This window comes from Homo sapiens, chromosome X (assembly GCF_000001405.40).
Source record: "Homo sapiens chromosome X, GRCh38.p14 Primary Assembly".
Classification (NCBI taxonomy): Eukaryota; Metazoa; Chordata; class Mammalia; order Primates; family Hominidae; genus Homo; species Homo sapiens.
The window spans coordinates 41,168,641-41,196,176 of NC_000023.11; the positions used below are offsets into that span (position 1 = coordinate 41,168,641).

Consider the following 27,536-nt stretch of genomic DNA (forward strand, 5'->3'; position numbering starts at 1 on the left):
GGCTACCACACCTGGCTAATTTTTTTTGACTTTTTGTGGAGGTGGGGTTTCACTACATTGCCCAGGCTGGTTTCAAACTCCTACGCTCAAGCAAATCCTCCTGCTTTGGCCTCCCAAAGTGCTGGGATTATAGGCGTGAGCTACAGTGCCTGGCCTGTAAAGAGCTCTTAAAAGCTGCCTTGCATGGCATATAACAAATATTTTCAAATGGTGTTTATAGTTTTGGGATGTTTTGTGTAGTCAATGCCATCATTTTTTTTAAAGAGTTTTGTTTATTAATCATGAAATTATATACAGTTGCTTCTTGAATATGATTTTTATTTTGTATTTTACTTTAAAAAAGGTACTATACCAATATAAATAGCATTTTGGAGTGAATTTTGATATGAAGGCTTTTTTCCAGAAAAAAAATAAAGTGCATTGTGGCATTTTTGTTGATGCTTTTAACAAAATGTAAAACGACCTTTTAAATGTAAAAGGTAAACTCTACCTTCTTTTTTTGAATTTTTTTTTTTATTAATACAAGGTCTACCTATGTTGTCGAGGCTGGTCTTGAACTCCTGGGCTCAAGGGATCTTCTTTGCTTGGCCTCCCAAAGTGGTAGGATTACAGGCATGAGCCACTGCGTCCAGCCAACCTTTTACATTTAAAAATAGTCTTAGTGAGTTGGGCTTTTACAGCATAAAAATAAGCGTTATATCTTGGATTTAATTTCATTTTAGTAGACACCTCATTTTCTGCAACCATAGATACAAGACTAACAACAATAGAATATGATTATGTTTTTAAATATTATTTATATTTTTAGTTAAAAGGAGCAATATTTTTTTTTCTTTTGCATTTCACTCTTGTTGCCCAGGCTGGAGTGCAGTGGTGCAGTCTCGGATCACTGCAACCTTTGCCTCCCAGGTTCAAGCGATTCTCCAGCCTCAGCCTCCCAAGTAGCTGGGATTACAGGCGCCCACCACCAAGCCTGGCTTATTTTCTGTATTTTTAGTAGAGATGGAGTTTTACCATGTTGGCCAGGCTGATCTCGAACTACTGACCTCAAGTGATCCACCCGCCTCGGCCTCCCAAAGTGCTGGGATTATAGGCATGAGGCACCATGCCTGGCCTTATTTTCAAGATACTGAAAGTAATACAGGTTGAGTATCCCTAATCCAAGAAATCCAAAATTTGTCTGGTCCCAGACATTTCATATAAGGGATTCTCAAGCTGTATTAAGTATCTTTAATTCACATCCTCTTGTTTAATAAGAAAATACTTAGTGTTAAATCCCCAGCATTATTTTCTTGGCAACAAAATTTCAGAGTCTGCTGAATATGATGATGTCTGTCTTTCTTTTTCCCCCCAGAGCATTCCGCGGTAAACACCTCTCTTTTGTAGTTCGATTTCCAAACCAGGGCAGACAGGTTGATGACTTGGAGGTATGGTCTCATACAAATGATACAATTGGTTCAGTACGACGATGTATTCTCAATCGTATTAAAGCCAACGTAGCCCATACAAAAATTGAGCTCTTTGTGGGCGGTGAGCTGATAGATCCTGCAGATGATAGAAAGTTGATTGGACAATTAAACTTAAAAGATAAATCGGTATGTATGTATAGTTAACAGATTTTTCAATAAAATCAAACCAGAGACTATCGTTTAATCAGTAAATACTAATTGAGCATTTGTTATGTTTGGGACTGTGTTAGGTGTTAGAGTTATAGCATTAAAGTATAGCATGTAGTCTTTCGGATTTTTTGGTTGGTATATCACTAAGTTTTGTGTTTTGTGTAAGTATTTTTCCTTGTTTTTGATATTAACATAGTATATAATTTTCAGCTTATTACAGCCAAACTTACACAGATAAGTTCCAATATGCCTTCAAGCCCTGATAGCTCTTCTGATTCCTCCACTGGATCTCCTGGAAACCATGGTAATCATTACAGTGATGGTCCCAATCCAGAAGTGGAAAGCTGTTTGCCTGGAGTGGTGAGTAGATACAGTTTTGAACTACTGTATGTAAGGCATCATGCTAGGGTTTTTGAGAATAAAGTATATAGAGTGGTTCTTTCTTTTCTTGAGGAGCTTACAGTTTAATGAGACAAAAAAATACAGTTAACCACCAACTTCAGAATGGATCCCTCTAAAAGGTAATTGTAACACAGTTGGAATTTAAAACATAATTTCCCCATAGGTATAGTATTGTTACTTTTACATAAAATTAACCAATTAGAGCTTAATTATAACACTATTGGATGTATAAATTTAGAGGAAAACAGTCATCCCTCGTATACGTGGAGAATTGGTTCCAGGACCTCTGCATATACCCAAAATGCTGCAGATGACCCTGTGCAACCAGATATACAAAAAGTTAGCCTTCCATATACTTGGGTTTTGCTTGCTGGAAATACTGAATTTTCTGTCCACATTTGATTGGGAAAAAAGTCTGCATGTAAATGGACCTGTGCAGTTCAAACTTGTGTTGTTCAAGAGTCAGCTGTATCACTTTCTAAAATTTATACCACAAAACGGATAGTTCTTTTAGAACTATATATGAGCTGGGCATGGTGGCTCACACCTGTAATTCCAGCTACTGGGGAGGCTGTGAGGCAGGAGGATTGCTTGAGCCCAGGAGTTCTAGGCTGCAGTGAGCTGCGATTGTGCCATTATGCTCTAGCCTGGTCAACAGAGTGAGACCCCATCTCTAAAAATATAAATAAATGAAAACAAGAACTATGTAGGAAAATACCTGTAATCTTTATCAGATTGTCAGTAACATATAGCCAAAGAAATATTTTTAAGCTCTCCTTTCGCCCCTCCCGACAGAAATTTTAATGGTTACAATAGTAGCAGCCACTCCAGTGTCAGGAGGATTTGGCTCTCTATAACAACTGGATTAAGAATTTGGTAGTGGGCATGGCAGCCTTTTGTTATGTCCAGAGTCTAAATTGTATATATGAGAGAAATGGTTTAATAGAACAGGAGAGGAGCTATCACAAAAAAATGACTGGAAGTGACTTGATGATGTATTTGATCTGCACTATTAAGGATTTGTAGGGATTAAAAGATGGGAAAGTCAGACTATTTCAAAGAGTAGAAATTTCATAAGTAAAAGTATAGGGATTAACACAGAGAAACTTACTTGGGCTTTTATAAAACGGGAGTAAATAATTTAGAGGTAATTATTTTGTGTATTTTATATTCTAGATAATGTCACTGCATCCCAGATACATCTCTTTTCTTTGGCAAGTTGCAGACTTAGGTAGCAGCCTAAATATGCCACCCCTTAGAGATGGAGCAAGAGTACTTATGAAACTTATGCCGCCAGGTAAGAATTTTTAAATGATGATCAAGTACTTGCTGGACAATAAAGGAGTATATTAGCAAATTCTGTTTCTAAATGGACCGTGCTTTTTGGTATAGACTATAACAAGAGTTGACAGATGACAGCCCACAAGCCACATCAAGCCCCCTGCTTGTTTTTGTGCATCCCAAGAGCTATATTTTTAAGTGGCTACAAAAAAAAAATCTAGAAGAATAATATTTTGTGATACATGAAAATTATATGAAGTTTAAATTTTAGTGTCCATGATCAAAACCAGGCTCATTTGTTTACATTCAGTCTACATGACTGCTTTTGTCTTAAAATAGCACCGCCCAGGAGTTGTGGCAGAGGCCATATGGTTCACAAGCCTAAACTGCTTAACTTTCCTGGCCCTTTACAGAAAATGTTTGCCTATACCTGGACTATAATATGGGTCATGTGTCATCTGCGGTATTGTTCCTTTTTTATCCTTAGAAACAACCACTTCCAACTTCTCGCTTTTACTTTAGTATATATATGTACCATTATGTCTGGAGTGTCCTCATACAGCTATTTCTTTGTTACTTACAGATATATACTGATTTTCTGCTGTGTAGATGAAAACTTAACTGTTACATACCCCCACATCCTCCCAGTATTTGCTTAAATCCAGATTCAACATCTACGTTTCCAAGATTGTTTGAAATATAGTTCTCTAGATCACTGACAACTTTTATCCTGGATTTAATAATTTCCCTTTTATTTTCCTGATTGTACACCTATCACTTATTCTTCCCACATACTTTTTTTTGAGATATTTTTTATCTGAATGTGGGCAAACTATCACGTTTGATTAATGGTTTGTGTATAGAATCCTAGGTTTGAAAATATATTCCTTCTGGCTGGTGGCATTGCTGATGAGAAGACCAAAGTCCTCTTGGTTTCTATTCCTTTGCATGTGACCTTCGTTTCTGGAAGTTTTGGTTTTATCCTTACGTTTTGAAATATTATGATGTGCCTTAGCGTTAAGTCTGTTTTGTGGTGCGTCACCTGTGGGCCTGGAGATTTCCTCAGTTGAGAGAGATTTGTATTCTTTGATAGTTTTCTCACCAGCATTTTGCGTTTTGTGTGTCTTTGAAATGTCTAAGTGTGATGGTGAATTTACTAGATCTGATTTTACCTTTTCTCTCTTCCCTTCTCTCTTTAATCTTATTCCACCTTTGGGGTGGCTTCTTTAACCTTTTCCAGCTCTTCTGTTGGCTTTTCCCCTCCAAATATTCTAGTGTTAAAATTTCAAGACCTTTGTCTCCTTAGTGATCCTTTTCCATATACAGGATTTTGTTTTTCACTAACACATTCTTGCATTTATGTTCTAATATATGTGTGTTCCTTTAAAACCTAATGTTCGGCAAAATTATGCACTAAAAATAGTAGGGCTTTTGGGGAAAAAGTAGAGTTTTGGCAGATCATTCAAGCCTATACAACCTAAAAATTTTTTAAATGTATTTTTTGGAAATACTTACAATCTTACAGAAAAATTAGAAGTATAATTCAAGAACACTTGAGAGTAATTTACTGGTTTTTGTAGTCCCATCGCCCACCAAATACTTTCCCTACAAACAAGGATATTTGTCTGTATAAGCAAAATTAAGCCATCTATACCAGGAAATTAATGTCGATTCATTACTGCCATCTACTTAGCAGACTCTATTGAGTGTTTTCAGTTATCTCCTTCACAGCAAAAAGATATAGTTCAAACTCAGATATAGTCAGCCCTCCATATACATGGGTTCTGGATCTATGGATTCAACCAACTGTGGATTGAAAATGTTTGGGGGAAAAAACATTGTTGAAAGTTCCAAAAAGCAAAACTTGAATTTGCCACATGCTGAGTACTGTGTTGAATCCACACGAATGAAGCTATGTGTAAGCATTGTATTAGGTGTTACCTAATACAATGTACAGTTAGGCACCAGATAATGACGTTTCAGTCAGTGATAGACCACATATACAATGGTGGTTCTATAAAATTATAATACCATATTTTTACTGTACCCTTTCTATGTTTAAATACACAAATACCATTGTGTTATAATTGCCTACAGTATTCAGTACAGTAACATGCTTGTATGGGTTTATAGCCTAGGAGCAATAGGCTATACCATATATAACCTAGATATGTTGTAGGCTGTATCATCCAGATTTGTTGTAAACACACCCTATGATGTTCACACAATGATGAAATCACTTAATGATGCATTTCTCAGAACATATGCAACACGTGACTGTAATCTGGAGATAATTTATACAGGAAGATGTGCATCGGTTGTATACAAATTCCACATCATTTTATATAAGGTATTTGAGCATCCCTGGATTTTGGTGTTGGGAGGGTGGATCCTGAAACCATCCCTGCACCCCCACCCCCCATGGATACCGGGGAATAACTGTATTGCATTTAGTTAATGTATCTCTTTAGTTTCCTTCTGAAACAGTTCCTCATACTGTCTTTGACCTTCATGACCTTGACTCTTAAAGATTACAGGCCAGTTAATTATAGAATGTCCTTCAGTTTAGATTTGTTTTATCATGATTGTATTCAGGTTATGCGTCTTTGGCAGAAATACCACAGAAGCGATGTTCTGTTCTTCTCAATGCTTCCAGTCAGATAGTATGTAATTTCAATTTTTCCCATTACTGACGATGATCACTGTGATCACTTGAGTTTTTTCCTTGCTTCCCCACTGTAAAATTACCCTTCCCTTTGAAAGTATTTTGGGCCAGGCACAGTGACTCATGCCTATCATCCCATCACTTTGGGAGGCCGAGGTGGGCAGATCGCTTGAGGCCGGGAGTTCGAGACCAGCCTGGCCAACATGGCATAACCCCGTCTCTACTAAAAATACAAAAATTAGCCGGGCGTGTTAGTGTGCACCTGTAATCCCAGCTACTTGGGAGGCTGAGGCTTGGACCTGGGAGGCGGAGGTTGCGTTGAGCCGAGATCATGCCACTGCACTCCAGCCTGGGCGACAGCGAGATTCTGTCTGAAGAAAAAAAAAAGTATTTTGTGCAGAGGTACTTTGAAAATATTTATACTGTTCCTCATCAGACATTTTATTCATTCGTTTATATCTGTATGAAATCATGATCAAGGAGTTATAATCTGTTACTATCATTTATCTTGATGCTGAAATGATCTCGTTTGGCCAGTGGGAGTCCTTTCAGACTGTTCTGTGTTACTTTAATATGTTCCCATTATTCTTTCAGCACTTGTGTGCTCTTTGGCTCAAGATGTTTAAGATTAGGTCAAGTGTAGTGGCTCACGCCTATAATCCTAACACTTTGTGAGGGTGAGGCAGGAGGATCACTGGAGCTCAGGATTCATGACCAGCCTGGGCAACATAGCCAGACTTCATTTCTATTAAAAATTTCAAAAATTAGCCAGGTGTGGTGATGCGCACCTGTAGTCCCAGCTACTTGGGAGGCTGAGGTGGGAGGATCACTTGAGCCTGGGAGATGGAGACTGCATTGAGCTATATGATCAAGCCACTGTACTCCAGCCTGGGCAACAGAACAAGACGCTGTCTCAAAAAAAAAAAAATTTAAAAAAGTTCCAGATTAACATCCTGTACCCTCTCTGCCCCAGTCCTGAAATTGGCTGTTTCTCCAAGGAGGCCTGTTTGATTTATTTTCCTGGAGAATGGTGTTTAGAAACCAAGATCTGGACATTTATTGCACTCATTGCTATCGATGTATTGTTGCTCCCTGGCTCTCTAAGCAGTTAGAGCTAAGGAATGTGTGTATGTGTATCCACATTTAAGTCTATTACTATATATATACACACACACACATGAATATATATATGTGTGTAAGTTTTTACAAAACCATGGGGTCACACGACTTCCTCCCATCCCAGCCTATCACAGTTTCATTCTAGTTTTCTCCCTTTCTATATTTGTAATTTTTTTTTTTTTTGAGACAGAGTCTCGCCCTGTCACCCAGGCTGGAGTGCAGTGGCGCAATCTCGGCTTACTGCAACCTCCGCCTCCCTGGTTCAAGGGATTCTCCTGCCTCAGCCTCCCAGTAGCTGGGATTACAGGCGTGAGCCACCATGCCTGGCCAAACTCTCTTTTCTGACAATGAAAAACCTGGCTTCTGTTATCCTCTCACTTATTTTCCTATTTAATCAGTTATCTCCAGACCCCCCACCCTTTCTTTGAACGCAGAAGGACTCTTGTCTCTGAATGTTGGGTCTCTACCCCAGGGACACTCCTCGCTCTGCTTGAGTTGAATCTTTATGCTGAGCTCTACCCACTTATTGGGCTCCCTCCTCCTCCTTCATGGTCTGTAATTCCCAACATAGGACTACCTTTAAAACTTGCACATAGTTTAATTAGAGCACTCATAAAATGATAATTAGTATCCTCAGAGATAATTTGGACAGTCCAGGCAGGTACTTCAGTGTGGCTGAAGGCTTCCTCAGGAGATAGTAAAAAGACACAAAACCAGTACAGAGGAAATGCTGACTTGACATTGCTGAGATACAGTGCAAAAGAGTGGAGCTCTGAGATAGATGGGCTACCATTAAGATAGGCACAGGGGGAAGTAGAACCTGCCAAGGTCCATGAAAGTCTAGTTTAGGATTGTATCTCACAAGATGAGCCCTTGATGCAAGTATTCACTTTAAATTTTCCTTTAAAAAGAAACAGGCTTCTGCTTACACATCTACCCAGCTGAGGGGGCTTTTTGCTTTGCTCATTTTAATTTTTTTGTTGAAGATTAACAGTTCTGTTGTTCTGGCTACTGTTGCCTGGAAGAAATCACACATGAACAAACTCACCTTCTGCATTATACTGACATCATTATATTTGCCAATTGATTGTGAGCTAATTGGGGTTATAGAAACGTGCTATAGCATAACAGACTGTAATTATTTCTCTCTAGGCTATTACTGATGGATATTATGTTTTCTTCTTTTTCCAGCATCATCTTTTACTGTCCTTGAGTTTTTTAACTAGCTTTTTATATTAAAATAATTTCAAACTGTTTACAAAGAATACAGTTGGCTCCCAAATTCAGTAATTAACAGTTTGCCGTAGTGATGGCAAAAGTTTCCTAACATTTGGAGAACAAGTTGTAGACAATCATCTTTTTCTTCCTAAATAGCTTAGTATATGTCTTCTAAAAACAAGAATGTTCTCACTTACATTAACATAGTATTATTCAAAATAAAAAAAATTTAGCATATACAGTAATATCATCTAATCTGCAGACCATTTTCATATTTTGACACTTTCCTCAGTATTGGACTTTATAACAATGTTTTCTGGTTGAGGATCTAAATCCAGGTTCATACATTGCATAATTATTCGGTATCTCTTTCAGTTGTCTTTAATCTGGAATAGTTCCTCAGTCTTTGTCTTTTGTGACTTTGTTTTTGAATGGCACATGTCAGTTGCGCTGAATATCTCTCATTGGGTCTTATCTGTTCTGATGATTATATGGAGGTTGTACATTTGACAGAGTACTACTTGTATGTTGATGTGTCTAAGAGCATCACATTGAGAGACACATGTCACTGTGTCTTTGGTGACATTAACCCAGATCACTTAGTTGATAGCTGCCAGGTTTCTCCTCTAAAGGAGAGAGATGCTTTGTGTAGAGAGATGCTTTGAGACTTCGTAACTATCTTTTTCCTCATCAAACATTTGTTTTATCATCTATTGTGATTGTTGCCTAAATGTTTTTACTATGATGGTTGCAAAATGGTAATTTTGTTTTAATTTTGTCATCCTTTCTACATTTATTAGTTGACATTCTATAAGGTAGTGCTTTGTTTTCTCGCCTTTATATTTGTCATATATGATCACTCTTATGGGTTTATTTTATTCATTGGGTTATAACCATTGTAATGGTTATTTATTTTGATGCTCAATTGTCCTAGATATGGTCAGTGGAAGCCCCTATAGGTTAGACCCAGACATACAACCTCAATTTTTTTAAGGTACTTTATTGTACTTTATTATTTTCTGGTATGAGAAGATGTTTCAAGCTTATCTATAGTATTTCCTCTGCCCCAGCTCTGGAATCTGCCATTCCAGAGTTTTTAGAAGGAAGGGTATTTAGAAATCAAAATCCGAGGTTTAAATCTTTTTTTTTTTTTTTTTTTTTTTTTTTTTTGAGACGGAGATTTTGCTCTGTTGCCCATGCTGGAGTAGTGCAGTGGCGTGATTTCGGCTCACTGCACCCTCTGCCTCCTGGGTTCAGGTGATTCTCCTGCCTCAGCCTCCCGAATAGCTGTGATTACAGGCACCTGCCCTCATGCCCGGCTAATTATTATATTTTTAGTAGAGACGAGGTTTCACCATGTTGGCCAGGCTGGTCTCGAACGCTTGACCTCAGGTGATCCACCCACCTCGGCCTACCAAAGTGCTAGGATTACAGGTGTGAACCACAGTGCCCCTGCCAAGTCATCCTTATTTCATTCTAATTGTGGTAAGGTGATACCTCATTGTGGTTTGGATTTGCATTTCCTTAATGATTAGTTATGTTGAGTGTGCTTTCATGTACATGTTGGCCATTTGGATGTCTTCTTTTGAGAAATATCTATTCAAGTCTTTTGCCCATTTTAAAAATCGGATTTTTTGCTGTTGAGTTCCTTATATATTCTGGATATTAACCCCTTGTCAGATGCATAGTTTGCAAATATTTTCTCCAATTCTGTAGATTTGTCTTTTTGTGGTCTTATTTCCTTTGTTGGGTAGAAGCTTTTTAGTTTAATGTAATTTCGTTTGTCTGTTTTTGTGTTTGTTGCCTGTGCTTTTGAAGTCTTAGCCAAAAAGTCCTTGCCCACACTAATGACATGAAACATTTCCCTTGTGTTTTCTTCTAGTAGTTTTATAGTTTCTGGTCTTACATTTAAGTTTTTAACCCATCTTGAGTTTATTTTTACATATGATGAATAATAGGGGTTTAGTTTCATTTTTCTGCATATGTATATTCTGTTTTTGCAACACCATTTTTATTCAAGAGATTGCCTTTTCCCCCAATGTGTGTTCTTGGCACCTTTGTTGAAAATCAGTTGTTTCTGATTATGTGGATTTATTTCTGGGTTCTCTATTCTGTTCAATTGATCTGTGTCTATTTTTGTGTCAATACCATGCTGTTTTGGTTACTATTGCTCTATAGTAAATTTTGAAGTCAAGTAGCTGATGCCTTCAGCTTTGTTCTTCTTACTCAAGATTGATTCGGCTATTTGGAGTCTTTTGTAGTTCCATATGAATTTTAGGAGTGTTTTTTGTATTTTTTTGTTTTACCTTGCAGATTCACCTCAAAGGATGTTTTTTCTATTTCTGTGAAGAATATAATTGGTATTTTAATAGAGATTGCATCAATCTGTAGATTGCTTTGGGTAATATGGACATTTTAACAATATTTGTTCTTCCAACCCATGAACATAGAATATTTTTCCATTTATTTGTGTCCTGTGTTCGTTCTTTCATCAGTTTTTTTTGTAGTGATCTTTCTCCTCCTTGCTTAAATTTATTCCTAGGCATCTTATATTTTTGTAGCTATTGTGAGATAACTTTCTTGATTTCTCTTTCAGATAGTTTGCTATTGGCAAATGGAAACACTACTTAGTTTTGTATATTGATTTTTGTATCCTGCAGTTAACTAACACAGGTTCACGCTTGTACCAGTCCAGCTTCCTAGTCATCTTCCATTCCGTATTTGTATCTCTACAGCAATGAGAAATCTGAAACCTGAGGGAGTTGGAAAGGCTTCTTAATCAGTCTTCAGCCTCTGTCTTTAGGCCTTCGAATCATTTGTGCCTTCCCAAGTGTTTGTTGTTTTCATACCCTTGGCTTTTCTCAGATTTAGTGGGGCATTAATTTATAGGCACCCTCTTCTCCTTGCCTTCACAACAACTAAACCAACTTCACAACTTCAGCTAAACCAACTATCTATCCCCATCTTCACTACACCGTCAGTAATTTGTTGACAGCTGTTTAATGTGTTGCTTCCCCTTCTGTTTTTATGTTCTTTTGAGTTTATGTATTTTTATATTCATTCATTCTCATTTTAGTGGGGTTTGGGGATGAAGTACTGATAAATATAGTGCAGTACACCATATTTAGTTGACATAATTTTTAAAGCTGTCTTCTGCTTTTATTACCTCCATTTTCTAAATTAAACACCTTGTTGGGCTTCTCATCTTGCTTTGCAATTATTATGGGACAGAAGCATTTCACATTAGATTCTTAGCTAAGGCTTCTCTCAAAAGATATATTTCATTCTTGTCTGTTACATCGTTTAGAATTTACATAGTTTCATTTGTTAGTATTTCAGTAATAGTCCTTGCAGTGCTTTACTGCAGATTCAACCTTCACAACATACTGTAAAAACACAAACCCACCACTGAATCCTTGATCTTGTGATTGGCGCTTAATGCCACCAGATGGCGAGCATGAGCTCTTGTCAGACAGTTAAGGCAAGAAACTTGAAGTGGGTGCTTTCTTCATGTTTTATATAATGAAACTAGAATACCTAAATTTGAAACAGCCAGCTTTTGAAAAAGCTGGTAATGGTTGTATTGCAGCAGAAAATCATAGGCTTTGGACTCAAATGGACTTGAGTTCCAATCCTGCTTCTAATTGCTACTCTATGGCGTTAAACATAAGTTTCATAGTTTATTAGAGCTTCCTTATCCTTAGAACTGGGATAATGATAACTTTTTTGTGTAATTGCAGGGATTAAATGAAACAATGTATGGAAAACCCCTAGCCTAGGGACTGGCACTTAGTATTCATTAAACATTAAACCACTCTCTGTCACTTCCTTTTCTTAGAGCTCCTGCTTCCTTTCTTATTTAAGAGTTTGTGTCTAAAACGTGGTAATACAATCTTTTGTAAAAGTCTGTTGTAAGCTCTTAGCACTGATAAACTCAACTTAAACCACACATCATCTCTATAAGGTATAGTTAATGACTAGGAAAAAAGCTAATGATTCTCTCTTTCCCCTCCATTTAAAATACATCCAAGAGTGCACAAATGCTAAATGATCACCCAAATGTTACACTTCTTTTCATTCTGAATCTTTGCCTGAAGCCAAGTGCCCATGTTATGATTTGCTGTTAAACTTAAAACTTCTGCAGTCCTCTCTATATGTAATACCATCTTTTGTAAAAGTCTGTTGTAAGCTCTTAGCACTGATAAACCACACAACATACCTATAAGGAAATTATTAATTTTATCTGTATTTTAAAGACGGAGAAACTGAAGCACAGAGAGATTGTTAATTCACCTGGGACACATAGCTTAAATGCTATTTCTCATTTCTTTTTTTTTTTTTTTTTTTTTAAAGAGAGAGGGCCTTACTCTGTGTCCCAGGCTAGAGTGCAGCAGCATGATCCTAGCTCACTGTAACCTCAAACTCCTGGCCTCAAGTGAGGCTCCTGCCTAAGAGTAGCTAGGACTACAGGTACACACCACCACACCTGACTTTTTTTTTTTTTTTTTTTTTTTTTTTTTGAGATACAGAGTCTCACACTGTCGCCCAGGCTGCAATGCAGTGGCGCAGTCTCTGCTTACTGCAGCCTGTGCCTTCTGGGTTCAAGTGATTCTCCTGCCTCAGCCTCCCGAGTAGCTGGGATTACAGATGGACGCCACCACGCCCAGCTAATTTTTGTATTTTTTGTAGAGATGGGGTTTCACCATGTTGGTCAGGCTAGTCTTGAACTCCTGACCTCAAGTGATCCGCCCACCTCCGCCTCCCTGAGTGCTGGGATTACAGGCATGAGCCACTGCGCCCGGCCCACACCTGGCTTATTTTGAAAATTTTTTTGTAGTGATGGGGGTCTTGCTGTGTTACGCAGGCTGGTTTTGACCTGGGCTCCAGTGATCCTCCCATCTTGGCTTCCCAAAGCTTAGGTATCTTTTCAAAAGGCTAGAAAGAAACCAAAATCGTCATAAACTCTGGATGACAAGATTATGACTGGCTTAAATTTTTCTGGCTTCCATTTTTTATAAAATGTAACATGATATAATCAGGGATGAATATGAGAGCTGGAATGGCCACTGAGTGTTAACTTTGATTCAGATCTCTCAAATGAGTAAACTATAATTCAAGACCATTAAATGATTTGCTTAGAATTCACTACTTCTGACCGGGTCACGCTGGTAATCCCAGCACTTCAGGAAGCCAAGGTGGGAGGATTGCTTGAGCCCCTGGAGTTTGAGATCAGCCTGGGCAACATGGCATAACTCTGTCTCTACAAAAAAATATGCAAAAATTAGCTGGGCATGGTGGCACATGCCTGTGGTTCCCAACTACTCAGAAGGCTGAGATGGGAGGATCACCTCAGCCCAGGGAGGTTGAGGCTGCAGTCCTCACGCCACTGCACTTCAGCCTGGGTGACAGAGTGAGACCCTGTCTCAAAGAAGAAAAAAAAATATCCACCACTTCCTTTTCTTGAGCTCTTCTTTTTTTTTTTTTCCTCCTACTCCCCTTTGCCTCCATCCTTCACTCAGAATATTTTTAAGCCAAGCAAGATACTATGAGATACAGTGGTTAAGCATATGAATTGGGTTGCTTTTAGGGAGTAATTTGACAATGTATGTCAAGTCTTTGGGCATTATGTTCAACTTCTTTATGCTTGCAGGGTTTTGCATGGTGAAAATTATAAAAATTCAGCTGCTAGGATCTTTGATGTTTAAAAAGGTGAGGGGAGGTAAAAACCTAAATGCCCAATAATAGGAATTAAACTGGTAAAATAATATTGTCATTTTAATAATCAGATAAAATGATATAGATGAATATTCAATGACACGAGAAGATATTTATAAATATTTTATTATAAAAACTATTTTAATTGGTTACATTATATGTCGCTATGCCTTCAGAGTAGAGAGAAGTGACAGTTTCAACACAAACTGAAAAATTTGTAAGATAATGGCTGCTATTTCTAGGCCTGTAAAAATTCATTTACCCAAAGAAAATCATAGTTTTTTTTTTTTTTTCTGGAGATGGAGTTTCGCTCTTGTTGCCCAGGCTGGAGTGCAGTGGCGCAACCTTGGCTCACTGCAACGTCCGCCTCCCAGGTTAAAGCAATTCTCCTGCCTCAGCGTCCCGAATAGCTGGGATTACAGGCGCATGCCACCACGCCCGGCTGGTTTTTGTATTTTTAGTAGAGATGGGGTTTCATCATGTTGGTCAGGCTGGTCTCGAACACCTGACCTCAGGTGATCTGCCTGCCTCAGCTTCCCAGAGTGCTGGGATTACAGGCGTGAGCCACTGCGCCCAGACCTATTTTTCTTTTCTTTAAAAGAAGCTTTTACTTAAAAAAAAAAAAAAAAATTATCAAGGTATTTTTTTAATCATAGGGCAGTTACCTTAGATCATCAAAATACTTTCCAAGGTTGATTGACTATTAATAAAGTTGGAATATTTGGTAGCTAATGCTTAATTGTATTTTGGGATTATCTTATTTTTCCCCCACTGTGTCTTTTCACCGTAATTTAAAATTATGTTTTAATATTATGACAAAAGGACAAAAGCTCTGCTTGCTTTGAGGTGAATGTACATAGGCACTTACCCTTTTTCGATGTTTGCTTTTTAGGGTTCATTTTCTTGGATATCACTACATTCCTTTCAGTGAAGCAAGCCAGTTAATATATAGTGTCAGGGGGCAAACAATAAAGAGGTTAGAGGGAAGAGTTTATAATTTTTTTCTTGTTATTTTCAGTCAGAACTACTTCCTTTTGAAATGTATTTTTTTCCATCTCCAGTGGCTGAGAGGAGAGTATCTTGATTTGAGGTCCCTGAGTAGCAGATGCTTTGTATTGAGAGTAACTGATTAAAGAGCCCTGTTTTTTGTTTTTGTTTTTGTTTATTTTTTTTTTCTTTTTTAATCATTCCAGGTCTTGTCATGTCTTAGGAAGTTTGAGCCTATAGCCCAACTGAGTGGATTGTTATTCCATATTAGTATGGTCTTCAAGATATCAAAAGTTAAATATGTATGAACACATGAATTACATTTTCACACTGTCTCTTTTTTTCCTCCAGATAGCACAACGATAGAAAAATTAAGAGCTATTTGTTTAGACCATGCCAAACTTGGAGAAAGCAGCCTTAGTCCATCTCTTGACTCACTTTTCTTTGGTCCTTCAGCCTCACAAGTGCTATATCTAACAGAGGTTAGTTTTTGGGGTTTTTTGTTGTTGTTGTTTTCTTTGTTTTTCCTTTTAAATTTATTCTGTGTTCTTTAAATTTGACCTTTCATATGGTAAGGTGAATGATTTGGGTAAAATTGTAATGAAGTAGTTTTGAAATGAAATATTAATTTGAAATAAATAATAGTGAGATGGTCAAGAGTTTCTTGGCACTGACAATAGTACAAATAGAAGTTATTTTTTTTTTAAATCTTTTAATACAGCCCTCTCCCCCTCTTCTCTATTTTTCCAGGTAGTCTATGCCTTGTTAATGCCTGCTGGTGCACCTCTGGCTGATGATTCCTCTGATTTTCAGTTTCACTTCTTGAAAAGTGGTGGCCTACCCCTTGTACTGAGTATGCTAACCAGAAATAACTTCCTACCGAATGCAGATATGGAAACTCGAAGGGGTGCCTACCTCAATGCTCTTAAAATAGCCAAGCTTTTGCTAACTGCCATTGGCTATGGTCATGTTCGAGCTGTGGCAGAAGCTTGTCAGCCAGGTGTAGAAGGTGTGAATCCCATGACACAGGTAATACAGACTTTTTAAAAATCCTTTTATAATAGTAGATAGCAATTTTTAAAGTAAAACTAATTAGTATTTTAAGTGTAGAGTTCAAGGTTGACTCAATGTTCAAAGTGCCTTATTTCAGAGGTTTTCTTTATGATGTTTGTATTAAAAGTGCAAATACTTTTCGCTGACAGCTGATAATCTGAGGGTAGTTTCTCCCTGCCCACTTAAATCTTGCTTGACTTTCATTTATTTTAAACCTAACAAAAACTCCATATGAATCTCTTATTAACTTGTGCCTGGTAGATATATAAAGACACAGATTGTAATAAGAGATATAATTGGTTTATCTTGTTGCTTGTTTCCCTTCCCACCTTGGGCTTAAACCCAAGTTCTGAGCTTATTCTGACTCGGTTTCTGCCTTGGTGGCATTCTTGATCCATGTCACAAAAAATTCTCAAGACATGCCAGAATTTGATACTTATTTATGAGAGATCAAACTATGCATTTAATTCTAAGTAAAGTTTTATAAACATCATAAATGATTGTTTTACTAAGTTACTGATAGAAGGTAAAACTTCAGGGATAAAGATTTTCTTCTTTAGAAATGGCTTAGTTTTCAATTGTGGAGATCAGAATGTTGATATTTATGGTAATATCACATATAATTGTTTTAGCTATGATAATACTGTGGTTATGTTTAAAAGGAAGAGCCCCCTATATTTTTGAAGTGATTGCTAAGATACTTCCAGGTGAAATTACATGATATCTAGGATTTGCTTAAAAACAATCCTGGGGTGGAGAAGTGATGGAAAGCAAGGGAGGATAGTCAGATTAAACAATTTGGTTCACTGGCGATAATTCCTGAAGCTAAGTAATATGTACATGGGAGTTAATTATACTACTTTCGACACTTTGATGTGTGTTACGAATTTTCTGTAAAAAATGGCTTAAATTTTATATTGTTTTGTATCACAGGTCCCATCTTTGTTAGGATTTTTTTTTTTTTAAAGTAGTTCTTATTAGGTAAGTAAAAAGACAGCTTCTTGTTAGGATAAAAACAGATTTTTGTCATGATCCCTGACACAGATACTTAATGAAGTACACAGAAAACAATTACATGTTTCCACTTTCACCTTTCTTCAGTATTTATTCAGAGAATGTGCCACTATGGATACAGAGGTACATAATAACCTCTAATCTCAACGAGCTCACAGTAGGGAGCCCAATGCAAACTTAGTAATATAGAAATATCTTAAAATAATATTGTTGAAATATTTACAGTATATATATATAGGAGGGGAGTTACAACTTGAAGGCAGTCAGAATTACCTCGCTAACAACTACGTAATGAAATTAATCTGTCACTGATTTAACAACTTGATTATAGCATTAAGTAAAAACTAGGGTACCTTTCATACATTAGTCCTCTTACTGCTTTTTCAGTATTCCTTAATTTTTCTTTTTTTTTTCCAAAGAAAAATGTGGTAACAATGGGGAATACAAGCAGGGTCTGCCCAAGGCATGTACATAAAAGATGTACAATACTTTACTGAGTCTCTAGAAGGGAACCAGTCTATTTAGTGTATCATTATCCCCTGCAAGTTAAGCTGAGGCCAGATTTAGAGACACGAGTTGATTGCTCTAGAATGGGGATTTGCAGACACGTGGCACTACAGTGCACAAGGAAGAGAGGAAGCCCACTTTGTTGGCAGTGCTTTTTGTGTAAGTTGCCACAGGTTCTATAATGTGTATATGCAAGGAAGTCGTTCTGCAGGAGTGGGTGATGAATGAAGAGCAATTGGTTAGGTCTGGTTATGTACAAATTATTTACTCCAAATAAAATGGTTAACTTTTTTCAGATCAACCAAGTTACCCATGATCAAGCAGTGGTGCTACAAAGTGCCCTTCAGAGCATTCCTAATCCATCATCCGAGTGCATGCTTAGAAATGTGTCAGTTCGTCTTGCTCAGCAGATATCTGATGAGGTTAGTTTTATCAAGACTTCTGTCACAATTTTAACTTTCCTAGGCCCACTTATTTTAATCACTGTCTCATTCTATAGATAATGTCCCCTTAATATCAGTTTTGTCTACTATTAATATTAGTACTTTCTGTTTTTAATCAACTTTATGTATAATAAACAGCATCCTTTTAAAGTATACAGATGGGGTGATTTTTTTTTTTTTTGAGACGGAGTCTCACTCTGTTGCCCAGGCTGGAGTGCTGTGGTGCTATCTCGGCTCACTGCAACCTCCACCTCCCAGGTTCAAGTGATTATTCTGCCTCAGCCTCCACAGTAGCTGGGATTACAGGTGCCACACCCACCCCCCCATGCCCGGCTATTTTTTTATTTTTAGTAGAGATGGGGTTTCATGATGTTGGCCAGGCTGGTCTCGAACTCCTGACCTCTGGTGATCTGCCTGCCTCAGCCTCCCAGAGTGCTGGGATTACAGGCATGAGCCACCATGCCCGGCCCAGATTCGGTGAATTTTGACATATATGTGTGAAACCACTGCTGCGGTCGAAACCGAATGTTTTCATCACTCTTTATGCACTTTTGCAGTTTATTCTTTCCCCAGGTAACTACTGCTCTTTTTGTCCCTAGAGAGTATTTTTTGTCTTCTGGAGTTTTATATAGGTGGATTATAGTGTGTGTTCTTTTGTGTCTGGCTTCTTTCACTAAGAATAATGACTGAGAATTACCTGTGTTGTGTGGATTAGTAGTTCATTCCTTTTTATTGCTAACTAGTACCCATTATGAATATTCCACATTTTGTTTATCCATATACTTGGTGAAGGACAGTTGGATCATTTTCCCTTTTTGGCTGTGAATAAAGCTGATGTAAACATTGTGTACAAGTGTTTGTGTAGACATAAATTTTCATTTTTCTTGGATAAGAAACTACGAGTGGAAAGGTTGTCATCTTTGTAGTAGTAAAATGTAATAGTAAAGAGCTAGAGAACTTGGGGAGCGTACTTTGTTGTATTGCTGTTTAAAGGCAGGAGGTGGGGAATAAGCCAGGTGCAGTGGCAGATGCCTGGACTTCCACCTACTTGGGAGCATGAGGTAGGAGGATCTCTTGAGCCCAGGAGTTCAAGGCTGTAGTGAGCTATGATCACACCACTGTACTCTAGACTGGGTGACAGAGCCAGAGGGCCCTCCGCCCCCACCTTTTTTTTTTTTTTTTTTTAAGACAAAGGCAACTTGGGAATTTAAAAACAATGGTACTACACAGTAATTCCTATTTCCTTTACAAAGTGAAACATTTTTGTTTTTCTAAACATAATTTCACTCTCATTCTATCAACAGTTCTATTTACTCGTTATCTTGCAGGCTTCAAGATATATGCCTGATATTTGTGTAATTAGAGCTATACAAAAAATTATCTGGGCATCAGGATGTGGGTCGTTACAGCTAGTATTTAGCCCAAATGAAGAAATCACTAAAATTTATGAGAAGGTAAGAATTATCACAGAACTATATTCCTTGTAAACAAATGTTTCTTAATTGTGCATGTGGTTTGATTTTTATTAGCTTTGCTATTTTTAAAAATTGAATCACTTGCATCTTAATGGTTGAAAATTAATTGATAGCTATGTTGAGAATATGGTAAAATTTTACTTTGAAAATGAAGTACTTAAGAATCGTGCCATGTGGCTGCTTTTTAAATGAAATTGCCTTTTGCTGCTTCTTGTGGGGGTCAGATATAATTGTCTCATACTGAATTTGCTTTATCCCATTCTCTTTTTTCTTTTATCATCTTTCTGTCCTGCGTAAATTTTGGTTTGTCAGTTATGGTATGGCATTTAAGTATTTTTATTTGATTGTCTTAAAGCAGTCAAAAATAAGAGTGTTAGCCAATTAGATATCATTCCTGACCTTCTATTAGATTAAGCAAATTATCTACAGAAGAGAAGCTGTGGTTGGCTTTTTGATTTATCATGTGTACCTGCCCCTGATGCTACATATTTAGAAGGAGAAATTGAGTTACAGGAACTTCCCTGACTTGGTAGAGCTTCTTTTACATGGCCAACATCACCCTGATTTGCCCAGGATATATGTTGATGTTCCATAGTATCTGTCTGGCACAGCCCTGGGTATTCATTCAGCTTATTAACTGAATACTTATTCTGTTTCAGGCATGTACTGTAGTTACTACTTTTTGATTAATAAAGTCAGATTAGAATTCATTAGGTACCTCCCCAGGCATATTTTAGGTTGTAAGCCTTTGAAACCCTTCCTGAATAGTTGTCAGACAATTGATTTTGAATAAAATGGCACAATAGGCAAGCAACATAATGGAACTAGTCAAAAGTACCTAAGTGCTATGCCACAGTGGTTCCTGAGAAAGGATTGGTTGTTGGTTCAGAAGTAAACAACTCAGAAGGTCTCAAAAAGATAGGTAGTGTGCTCAGTGTGCTCCTTCAGCCCTCCTGAAGACATAGGAAAATAATGGAATTAGACTTTATTTTCTATTATAGTCATTTCCAGACTATTCCAAAGGGGCCTCAAGAGTTAACATGCAGCCATGGAGAGGCTGAGGCCAGGTGGTTTAAGTGAGCAGATGAGTTTTAAGCACTAACTAGAAGTTGTGTGAGATTTTTCTTAAATACTTCTTTGGGTAATTTGTTCTTGATTGTAATTTTACAGACCAATGCAGGCAATGAGCCAGACTTGGAAGACGAACAGGTTTGCTGTGAAGCATTGGAAGTGATGACCTTATGTTTTGCCTTGATTCCAACAGCCTTAGATGCTCTTAGTAAAGAAAAGGCTTGGCAGACATTCATCATTGACTTACTATTGCACTGTCACAGCAAGTAAGTATCTTTTTTAATTGTAAGAAACTTACTTTTTGTAAATGGAGTGAATTAATTTAGGCTGGCAAAATGTGTCCCCAAAATTAAATATTTATTGTCTCTATGGCATATTGGTATTGAGGAAAATTTTATTATTTAAGAGTGTTTTGCTTAACCTAAATGTTTGGTTTTAGTCTCTGCAAATGCCAATATTAATTGTCAAAGCATGATTTTTTTCTAATCTTAGAATTTAGTTTTACCTGGGAGGTATATAGATTAGCCTATTTCTAAAAATCTAGTTTGCAAGATTTAAATCATATAGGACATTAGCCTCCTATCTTAGATTCCTAGATGCCAGGTTTTTTTTAAAGCCAAACAGAATTTGATATGAAATTTGTAAGACAGGGTCATTGTAAGAACTTTTGCAGTTTACACTGATAATAAAGATCAGTTATAAAGCTCATGTTTTCATTTCAAGAGCATTTAATCAGTGGCAGTAATTTTGTTTTGGGTTTCTTTTTCTGCAAGTCAGTCAGATTTATAGAAAATGTTGGTTTCCATCCTCTTGTATCAGTCTGATCCTGATCTTCGTATATGGTAACTTTATTAACTTGGGCTCTAATTTGTGTCACTGTTGTATGTAATTAACTTGTTTTATCTGTATTTTGTGAAAAGACACAGAAAATGTTTACTTTCATCATTCCATCACATGCCATTCAATAATGACAAAATTCATTGATGAAAGGTTGATGTAAATTCACAATAAGTCATTTGTTGAAATGAAACATAGTAATAATTAAAGTTTTAAAAATGTACATGCTGTGGGGGGTAGGGTTCAACTTGCCCACTCGAGAGGATGTAGAGTCTGAAGTGGGAATGTCACTTTAGAGTCTAAAGTGATTTAGTGGGTTTAAAGTGTGAATATCACCTATTTTAAGAAGGTCCTTGGGTAAGTTCTTTGAAGAAATCCAGTCCAGCCTATTCAGAAACTCTTAACAGGATCCCCACAAATCGGGTTGGGCGTGCTACCTCCTTGAGAAGACAATCCTGCACGTTGGAAAAGATAAATAGGTTTAGTAAGTCTAATTCCATTTAATGATGCATACGTGTGGGAATGGTGAGGATAGGAAAGATGATTAGCCAACAGTTTTAATGATGTCAAACCTGGAGGGTAGCAAGTTTGTTATTCTATGTTGAATTTTTAAAATCTTAAATTAGGAACTTATTTCATCTCTTAGTCTACTAACTATTAAGGAACTTGATTTAACAGGGTTTTTTGCCCTCTACCCTTTATGAAAATTACCCTTATATAAGTCAGAACCATTTTGCCCCTCTCTTCCCTGAAACTTGCATGCAGTGCGGTAATGTACTGTAGAAAGCATGTTATCTCATTATGTCACCATATTGTCTGCAATAATAGGGAGGGCGTTCTAAGTTAGGATCTTTTTGAGTTTTAAGTACCTGATTTTTTATAAATATCTGAATACCTATGTAGGTTCAAAATCCATTATTTCCCGTTAGTAAGAATTTGTCAGCAAGTCCGACTTGGACATTAATTATTGGCATTAATATTCTAAAATCTGAATCCCCAGGCCGGGCACGGTGGCTCATGCTTGTAATCCCTGCACTTTGGGAGGCTGAGGCAGGTGGATCACCTGAGGTCAGGAGTTCCAGACCAGCGTGGCCAACATGGTGAAACCTCGACTCTACTAAAAATACAAAAAATTAGTTGGACATTGTGGTGGGCGCCTGTAATCCCAGCTACTTGGGAGACTGAGGCAGGAGAATTGCTTGAACCCGGAAGGCGGATGTTGCAGTGAGCTGAGATCGCGCCATTGTACTCCAGCCTGGGCAATAAGAGTGAAACTCCATGTCAAAAAAAAAAAAAAAAAAAATTGAATCCCCAAATACATACTGGCCCCAGGGGTTTCAAATAAGGGATTGTGAGCTGTGTACAAATCTGCCCCTCAGATGGAGTTTATAATCCTATAGTAACGTTTAAGCATAGTTATTTACAAGGTACTTCTCACTTAATCCGTATAGCAACTCAGAAGTAGACTTTGCTGATGGAGAGGCACAAGGACTGTAGAAATTAAATGACTAACAAGGGCATAATGATCACTAAATGCTAACACTAAGACTGAAGGTTTTCTGCTTCTTGAGTTCTGACATTTCTGCCACACAAATTGGGCTCTGGGTGTAATTATAATCCACCAGCAAATATGTGAATCCCTACCTATGTGCTTGGCAATTAAAACCAAAGTCAAATAAGGCAGTTCTTGCACTCAAGGAACTTTGAGAGAGAAATTGGTGCCATAAAAGGTAAAATACTTTGAGAATTGGAAAGGCCATAACTTACTTTCTACCTGGAAGGAGCAAAAGTGAAGGTTTTGTGCAGGATGTAGCATGTGAGCTCATGTTTGGGCAGGATTTATATGTGCATAAAAGTAGAAGATGGTCATTGCCAGTGCGCTCTCTCTCTCCCTTTCTCACTCCCAGTTATGTGGCTTTTACTTCATGTGTCTTTGAACTCCATACACTTTCCTCCTCATGGTCTACCCTGATCTAAGCAGTCTGGACCCATTGCCTGGACAATCATAGTATCCTTGATCTTCCCACCTGTAGTGTTGTACTCTTCTAATCTGTTGACTACACGGCAAGCAGAGTGATCTCTAGAAAATATGAGCATGTTGCTTTCCTGCTTAAAATCTTTCCATGTCTTCCCGTTATCTTTGAATTAAGTTCAAACTTTTAAATTTGGCTTATAAGCACTCCATAATTTGGTCCCTGCTTCTACTCATTCAGAAGTTTCAACTTAAATGCCACATATTCTAGTAACTTTTCCTTATCCCTAATCTAGGAAAGGTTTCCTAGACCTCTGTTCCTGTTAGATGGTCTGCTTCCACATCATGACACTGACTTTATTTTATTGTAGTTAGTTGCAATGGATTTAAATTCTTTTAGATAAACGATATTTTTTTCTGCTGTTTCCACAGCCTGTTGTTTTATTCCCTGCCTAGTTAACTCACTTATGTTACCTCTCTGATCCGAGAAAGCATTTGACTTTGCCACTCCTGGGATAGTGCTTTCAGAGCAGAGCTGAGTATTTGGTTAAATGTTTAGAAAAGGAGTCAAGGATAATACTGTACAGGAGGTTAGTGGGAGTCAGTTTGACAGAAGGCCTATGGTGCTAAGGTCTAAGCAGTGTTTGATGTTAATGTGGTGTAGGCAGTCTCATGTATATGTTTGGTAAATATTGATCAAATACCTATTGTCTACAAGACACTACCCACTGTGGATATGGCAAAACAGACAAAATCTTAGCCTTCTAGGAGCTTACATGCCAAAAGGGATGGGGGAAGAGAAGGCATACGAGAAGTATATCAGATAGGAATAAGTGCTATGGGGGTGAAATAAAGCAGGAAAAGGGGCTGTGTAGTACGGGGCATGAGTGGAGTTCATTTTTTTATAGGGTAGTTGAAGAAGACTTCACAAAGGTGATAGCTTTGTTTAGAGGTCACCTTTTATCATTACCTTTCAGAGCAAAGTAATAATCCATGTGACTCATGGAGAAAGTATATTTTAAGCAGAAAAAACAACAGATGTGTATGTCCAGGCATGTCAGGAACATGCCTGACATGTGAAAGAACAGCAGGGAAACTGGAGTGGATGGAACAGAGGCGGTAGGGGACGGGGACAGTTGTAGGGAGTAAAGTCAGAGAGGATAACAAACACCCTGTGAGGGTTTTTATAGGTCATTGTGAAGACATTGACCCTAAGTGAGATGGGAATCTTTCAGAGGGTTTTAAGCAGAGAAATGATGTGCTCCACCTTAACTTTGTAAGTTTATTCTGGTTAAGAATAGTATGTAGGATAGCAGGAAAAGCAAGCTATTTTATGAATTTAAATAAAAGATGACAGTGGGCTGCATGCAGTGGTGGCTCATGGTTGTAATCCCAGCACTTTGGGAGGCCAAGACAGGAGGATCACTTGAGGCCAGGAGTTTGAGACCAGCCTGGGCAACATAGTGGGACCTTGTCTCTAAAGAAAATAGAAAAAATAAGCCGGGTATGGTGAACATGCCTGTAGTCCCAACTACTCAGGAGGCTAAAGTGGGCAGATCACCTGAGCCCGGAGAGGATGAGGCTACTGTGAGCCCTGATCGTGCCACTGCACTCTAGCCTGGGTGACAGAACGAGACCCAGTCTCAAAAAAAATTTTTTTTTAGCTGGATGTGGTAGCATGCACATGTAGTCCTAACTAGTCAGGAGGCTGAGGTGGGAAGATTGCTTGAACCCAAGAGTTTGAGGTTACAGTGAGCTAGGATGATGCCACTAAACAGCCTGGGTGACAGAGGGAAACCCTGTCTAAAGTAAAAGGGACTGACTGTTGTGAAGATAGAGGCAACAGGATTAGTTGACAGAAATGTGTTTCTTTTGAAGCACTCTAGAAGTCTGCATTTGCTCAGGGAAGTTCTATCGGGTATTCACGAGCATCAACTTTTTATTGCCCCTCATATTTGGGCTGTATACCTAGCTTATTGAAAAATTAGTAAACCAAAGCAGTGGGAATAGCATACCTTTGAAAATCTGATTAAGTTATGGGCTTGCTCCCAGAAAAGTAGATACGCCTGACTTTGGTTTACTTGGGTTCCCCCCAAATTCTACCTCCAAAAATTTTAGGGGCTTCTGAATCCCTCTGATTTATAGGCCTATGGACTGTTTTCAGAAACCTAAGATACCCTCTAGGGAGGGAGGTTAGTACACAGAATGTATGCTGTCAGGTCCTTTACACTTGTACTTTAAATTAAGTTCTGAGGGCTGGGCTCAGTGACTCACGCCTGTAATCCCAGCACTTTGGGAGGCCGAGGCGGGCGGATCACCTGAGGTTGGGAGTTCGAGACCAGCCTGACCAACATGGAAAAACGCCGTCTCTACTAAAAATACAAAATTAGCCAGGTGTGGTGGCATATACCTATAATCCCAACTACTCGGGAGGCTGAGGCAGGAGAATCGCTTGAACCTGGGAGGCGGAGGTTGCAGTGAGCCGAGATGTTGCCATTGCACACCAGCCTGGGCAACAAGAGCGAAACTCTGTGTCAATAAATAAATAAAAATAAATTTGGTTCTGAGTTATCTAGTAACTAGCACAAAGACAGAAATGTAGTTATCCATGAAATGCAGTTTGTGATGTCTATAAGATATTCACAAATGCTTAGCAGGTACTTGTTGAGCATCTTCCATGTGTCATACATTGTTCTAGGTGCCAGGACCTTTGGCATCAAGAAAGCCCCTACCCTTAAAGAGCTTACTTTGTAATGGAGATAGACTACACATTTGATAACTGGTTCTTGAGGTCCTCTTATACGCCAGACACTATTCTAGGTTCCAATGGCACAGTTTTAATTAAAGGTAGATGATGTCTCTGCCCTCTTGGAGCATTTTATTCTAGTGAGATCTATATAGTACATAACAGTTTTTAAAAAAGATAGATCCATGATTCCCAGATCTGAGAATCATGAGACAAGGTTTTCCCAAGGGTCATCAGAGAGAAAATATGGTATTGTGATTCTCAATCTTTCTTTTTTCTTTCTTTTTTTTGGAGATGGATTCTTGCTCTGTCACCAGGCTGGAGTGCAGTGGCGTGATCTCAGCTCACTGCAACCTCCGCCTTCCGGGTTCAAGCAATTGTCCTGCCTCAGCCTCCCAAGTAGCTGGGATTACAGGCACCCACCACCACGCCTGGCTAATTTTTGTATTTTTAGTAGAAACGGGGTTTCACCATGTTGGCTAGGATGGTCTTGACCTCTTGACCTCCTGATCCGTCCGCCTCACCCTCCCAAAGTGCTGGGGTTACAGGTGTGAGCCACCGCACCCAGCCTGTGGTTCTCAATGTTTAGTGCACATCAGATTGACCTAAAGAGTTTATTAACACATTGCTGGGCCCCACCTCCAGTATTTCTGATTCAGGAGGTCTGCATTGGAGCCTGAGAGTTGGCATTTCTAACAAGTTCCCAGATAATGCTGATGTTGCTGCTCTGGGGACCGTGCTTTTGGAACTGCCAGTACGGTATACGGCAGCAGTCCCCAACCCTTTTGGCACCAGGGCCCAGTTTCATGGAAGACAATTTTTCCGTGGATCAGGGAGGTAGTGGGGGATGGTTTCGGGATGAAAGGATTCCACCTCAGATCATGAGGCATTAGTTAGATTCTCATAAGGGGCACATAAGCTAGAACCCTTGCATGTGTAGTTCAATAGGGTTTGCGCTCCTATGAGAATCTAATGCCACCGCTGATCTGACAGGAGGCGGAGCTCAGGCCATAATGCTCATTTGGCCTTCTGGCCTGGGGTTTGGGGACCCCTGGTGTAAGAGACATCTGCCACAATAGCCTTACCGTGGTTACTACAGAATTTCCACAGAGCTGTTGTGCAGAACCACAGTTGAATAAAAATTCTGTGGAAGGCCAAAAAGATGCATAAGGTTATTGTAGTAGAGCATTTGGTATATAGAGGAACATTTCCAGCCTGTTCCAAGAAAGAGGTGTTAGAAGGTGGTATCCCTCAAACTCTTAGTGTCAATTTGAGGTTATAGTCCTGGACATAGAGCTTAAGTTCATGTATTATGTGGTGTTGGCTTGAGTGCTTGTTGTGTGTAGGTAGGGTAATCCTGTATCCTTACTATTAATTTATTTCCCTTTTATACTCCCCCCACCTCTCCTCCC

At 38.4% G+C, this 27,536-nt stretch overlaps 1 protein-coding gene across 8 annotated transcripts in view; it reads left to right on the forward strand.

Moving 5' to 3' along the window:
• The window catches only part of USP9X (ubiquitin specific peptidase 9 X-linked), a 151,135-nt gene that overhangs the window by 83,196 nt on the left and 40,403 nt on the right, over window positions 1-27,536 (forward strand). For all 8 annotated transcript variants that reach the window (NM_001410748.1, NM_001410749.1, XM_047442548.1 and 5 more), the window contains 8 exons: window positions 1,355-1,595; window positions 1,830-1,979; window positions 3,198-3,318; window positions 15,358-15,488; window positions 15,757-16,035; window positions 17,877-18,002; window positions 19,352-19,477; window positions 20,669-20,835. In NM_001410748.1, coding sequence (NP_001397677.1) covers window positions 1,355-1,595; window positions 1,830-1,979; window positions 3,198-3,318; window positions 15,358-15,488; window positions 15,757-16,035; window positions 17,877-18,002; window positions 19,352-19,477; window positions 20,669-20,835 — 1,341 coding nt within the window. The remainder of the gene's footprint in view (window positions 1-1,354; window positions 1,596-1,829; window positions 1,980-3,197; window positions 3,319-15,357; window positions 15,489-15,756; window positions 16,036-17,876; window positions 18,003-19,351; window positions 19,478-20,668; window positions 20,836-27,536) is intronic.